Genomic DNA, 4,476 nt, shown 5'->3' with positions numbered 1-4,476 from the left:
CAGCTGAGACTATAGGTGTGCACCACCATGCCTGGCTAAATTTTAAATATTTTGTAGAGATGGGGGTCACGCTATGTTGCCCAGGCTGGTCTCGAACTCCTGGGCTCCCTCTCACCTCAGCCTGCCAAAATGTTGGGATTACAGGCATGAGCCACCACACTCAGCTAGATATTCTATTTAATTAACTAATTAATTAATTTTTTTAGTGGGTTAAGGAGTGGAACGTTTAATAGACAGAAGAAAGCAGAGAGGAGAGCAGTTCCTTGTGAAGGAGAGAGAGATGTCTGAAAAAAGGCCTAGATAGATATTCTATTTTAATCAGTGTATTTAAGATTGGATTAGCTTTCTTTTTTTTTTTTTTTTTTTTTTTTTTTTTTTTTGAGATGGAGTCTCACTCTTGTTGCCCAGGCTGGAGTGCAATGGCACAATCTCAGCTCACTGCAACCTCTGCCTCCCAGGTTCAAGCCATTATCTTGGCTCAGCCCCCTGTGTAGCTGGGATTACAGGCACCTACCACCACGCCCGGCTAATTTTTATATTTTTTAGTAGAGATGGGGTTTCACCATGTTGGCCAGGCTGGTTTCAAACTCCTGACCTCAGGTGATCCACCCGCCTCGGCTTCCCAAAGTGCTGGGATTACAGGTGTGAGCTACCATGGCCGGCCTGGATTAGCTTTCATGGTGACCACATCACACCACGGATTCCCACTGCACTATCGTCAGAAGCTCCCGTGTCTCCTTTACACATATCGTGAGAAAGGAGATGGAGCCATGTTGCATCCATCTCTTTATTTGTGCAGTTGGTGTTTTGGACTCAGTATAGTTACCTTTAACCTCTAGAAATCCTACTTTCTTGTTCTTCTATGCTTTCTCAGCATGAAAGTGGTAGGATGCTAAGCTTTGTTCTGGTTTTTCTTGGTGCAGGAGAGGAGGAGGCCGGAATGGGGGTTACAACTTGGGCCCGGTTATACTCCTGAGGCTCAGATGAGCCCGGCCAACATGGCCTCATGCTGGAGAGGACTTAGCTTCTGAGTCAATTTGAAAAGTCTTTTAATATGAATTAAAGAGAAAGTGTGGGCTGGGGGCAGTGGCTCATGCATGTGATCCTAGTGCTTTGGGAGGCTGAGGTGGGTAGGTTGCTTGAGCCCAGGAGTTTGAGACCAGCCTGGGCAACATAGTGAGACCTTGTCTCTACAATAAGTTAAAAAATTAGCTGGGCATGGTGGCACCCACCTGTAGCCCCAGCTACTTGAGAGGCTGAGGTGGAAGGATCACTTGAGTCTGGGAGGTTGAGGCTGCAGTGAGCTGTGATTGAGCCACTGCACTCCAGCCAGGGTGACAGAGTAAGACTCTGTCTCAAAAAAAAAAAAGTTGTTGGCAAAGACAAAACTACTATTCAAGCACTCATCTGAGGTGCTAGGAGACCCCCGGGCTTTGTGGCAGGGGCTAGAAGGGCCCTGTCTGCCCAGTTATACTTAGGAACTGAGAATTTGAACTCTTGCTACTGCTCCCAGGACAGGATCTGCTTACCAATTCAGCCATTTTCTGAGTTTTCATGGCACTTTGAGGACAGCATTTATCATACTATTTTGTGCGTTGGGAGTTCCTATGGCCAGAAACTATTTCTTATTCATTTTCAAATCCCTAGCTCCAAAGCCAAGGTATTACACCCCAGAACTAATAGCTATCATTTATTAAGTACTAACTTAGGCACTAAAATTAGGTACTCTCCATATATTAATCTCACAACAACCCAACAAGGTTAATGCTAATATTTCCATGTTGTAGGTGAAGAAACTGAGGCTAAAGACCACAGCTCTACCAAAGCCTCTGCTCTTTCTTCAAATGAATGAGTGAGTCGGGGGCGGTTGCTCTGAGTGAGAGTGGGCCAGAGTGGGTTCAGGGCATTCAGGAGCCACCACAGCTCATTCGTGGAGGTGTCTAATCAGCTATGCTAATTGATTGTCGTGTCTGCAATATCAGATGCATGCTTAATTAGCACATGAACTCTCCTGTCAGATATTCCTGGAGGGGCTCTGCCAGCCAACCTAGGCCCAGCCACAGGAGCCTGCTGCTTTCTTGGAAACAGGGTGGGGAAGCATGATGATCCCAGTATTGACAAGGATCCCCTGAGAACAGGAAGGTCCACTGCTTTGTCGTGTGGGAAGCAGATTCAGGATGAAGCCCTGTCTACAAGATGTGTCCAGTCTCCTCCGCCTCGAGGCCCTTGGTTCATCGACCTCTTCCCTACAGCCTTTGGACTTTGCACCACTCTTTGAGGCCTCTGTGCTTTTTTCCAAGCTCCTGCTTCTGCGCTGGTCTTCCTCTCCCTAGCAAATCCTTATTCACCCTTAAGGGTCCAGCTCAAATGTCACTTCCTTTGTGGAGTTCCCCCTGGCCCCCGTGCTACCCGCAGAGTGGCAGAATCAAATGCTTCCTCTTCAGACTTGCTCCTATTGTACTTGTACCTACCTGACTCTAATGTGAGTCTCTTCAAATTACAGTGTTTTTGACGTGTTTTTCTCCCCCGGCCAGACTTAGGGCTTATTCAAGGCAGAGACCACAGTCTTCAGCATCCGGCACAAAGCCCGGCCTGTACAAGACACTCAGTACATTTAATTTGTTGAATTAAACTGAATGCTAGGTTGAGGTTCCACTGCAGGTAAGAACTGGGCAAGTGTAAACTTCCAGAACTCAGCAGCTATTTATTAGTGATATGCAGATGTAGGTAGGGCATCTTTGAAATCTTCCCAAGGATTCTGTGATCCTTATTTTTCCTTTTCACAATAATCCTCTCCTACTTGGGAAAAAGGGGGATAAAATCGCACTTTGGCCCCAGCCTGGGGAGAATCTTGGCATTAGGCTGGGGGGCCATGGTGGGAGGAAGCATGGGACTGGGGCCTAAAGGCCATCAACCAGACTGCAAGCTGCCTGAGTGCAGGATGTGACTTCCCCTCCCTCCCACACATATGGCCATTGCTTCACCTGGAGTGACTTGGGACTGGGGAATCAGGGGTGGGCAGCAGTGCAGGAAAACCCATCCGCACCAGCCTGGGGCTCCCTCTTCTCACTACCTCATGAGGCCCTGTGGAGTGTGGACTGTTGCTGCTGTCCTGATCCCCCAAATGCCATAACTGCTGACTTCTGATGTAAATAGTGTACATTTGTTTTTTACTTTGCAGCTAATTTGCATTAACTTCTCTGAATGACAGACATATAGAAATTCCCTGATTTCTATGACCTCACTTCCACACCACAAAAAACCACAGTGGTCCCTATACCTCTGTACTCAGGGACTCCCAACCCAGGTGGGCAGATACCAGGGGGTTTCTGAGGAGCCCTGCATCAAGCAGGCACCAGCCCAGGAGGAAGCGATCCAGGAATCCCACTACCCCGGAGCCCACTGCTCTGGCGTCTCTTTCTTGTCTCTCGGGGTTGTGCGGGGTGAGGGCATGGGGGTTTGTGAAATGTCTTCGTGATTTTGTAATTCAGGCTAGGGAGTCATTCGGAGAAAAGCGAATGAAAAGTAGGGTAAAGGGGAAAGAGGGGCTTTGTGACTTAGGTGGGCTTTGCAGAAGGACAGGAAGCCACACCCCGAGCCTTACAAGGCAAGCTGGATGGGGCTGCCCGGCTGCAATGGGGATGGACCGATACAGACCGCTCAGTGTAGCCACCTGCTGGACACATGGAGTCATAGCGTTCTGCTTCCTTCATGCTTCCTACCCTCCAGCTGCGCCTGCTCTTCTTTCTTCCTTCTTTCTCCTCCTTCCGCCTAGTTCCGCCCCGGCCCGCATACCTGCTTTCCCTCTTCCCTCAGGTGTGACTACCCAGATGCATCTGTCTTGGCCCAGGGCTGGGGACTCTGAATTTCCTCCTTTGGTGATGACTGAAAGGGAGCAGCTATCCCTGGTTGAGGCCAGAGAGAAGGCTTTTCATCTCCATGTTCAGTCTCTCCACCTTCTCGCTTGGCTTGCTGGGATCCTGCGCTTGGCTGCGATTAGAGGCCACTGAATTTATTGTCCAAACTGGGATGCTTCTGAGAGTGAAGGGTGTGTGTGCTTGCTATTAGTAATTATGCAGAGACAACAGCTGTAGACCAGAATTGTCCCGGGCCAGCGGGGACTCATGGTAAGCATAGTTCCGAGGGTCCGCCGGCGTTTTCGGCCGTGCGTCAGGTGTGGAAGGCTAAGGCGGCCAGCAGAGGCTGCTGCGGCACTTGTTATGTGCCTCACTATCTAAAAAGCTCCTTTTGCCATGCTGGGACTGTGGTGGGTGAAGTTGGTTGTCGTACAGGGCTAAGGTCCCCTGAGTAGTGATTGTACCAGATTTGCTCACCTGGGCCTGGCGCACAATGGGATAAGAAAGCCGCCTGCTTCCTCTAGTCTGGGTGGGAGACACAGCCCAAAGTCCCAGGGCCTACCTTCTCAGAAACTCCCCATCATCCTGGATTGGACTGTGCCTTTCCTGAATTCTGACA

At 49.5% G+C, this 4,476-nt stretch overlaps 1 annotated feature.

The window, feature by feature from the left end:
* Positions 3,591-3,640: a silencer, noted in NCBI's record as "silent region_3921". NCBI's record gives its function as "represses an Ori minimal core promoter by ATAC-STARR-seq in GM12878 lymphoblastoid cells {active_cell/tissue: GM12878}" and the evidence as "EXISTENCE:reporter gene assay evidence [ECO:0000049][PMID:35858748]".

Source organism: Homo sapiens, chromosome 11 (genome assembly GCF_000001405.40).
Source record: "Homo sapiens chromosome 11, GRCh38.p14 Primary Assembly".
Classification (NCBI taxonomy): domain Eukaryota; kingdom Metazoa; phylum Chordata; class Mammalia; order Primates; family Hominidae; genus Homo; species Homo sapiens.
Note: the sequence above shows the minus strand (reverse complement) of the source record. Positions and strands in the feature narration are given on the sequence as shown.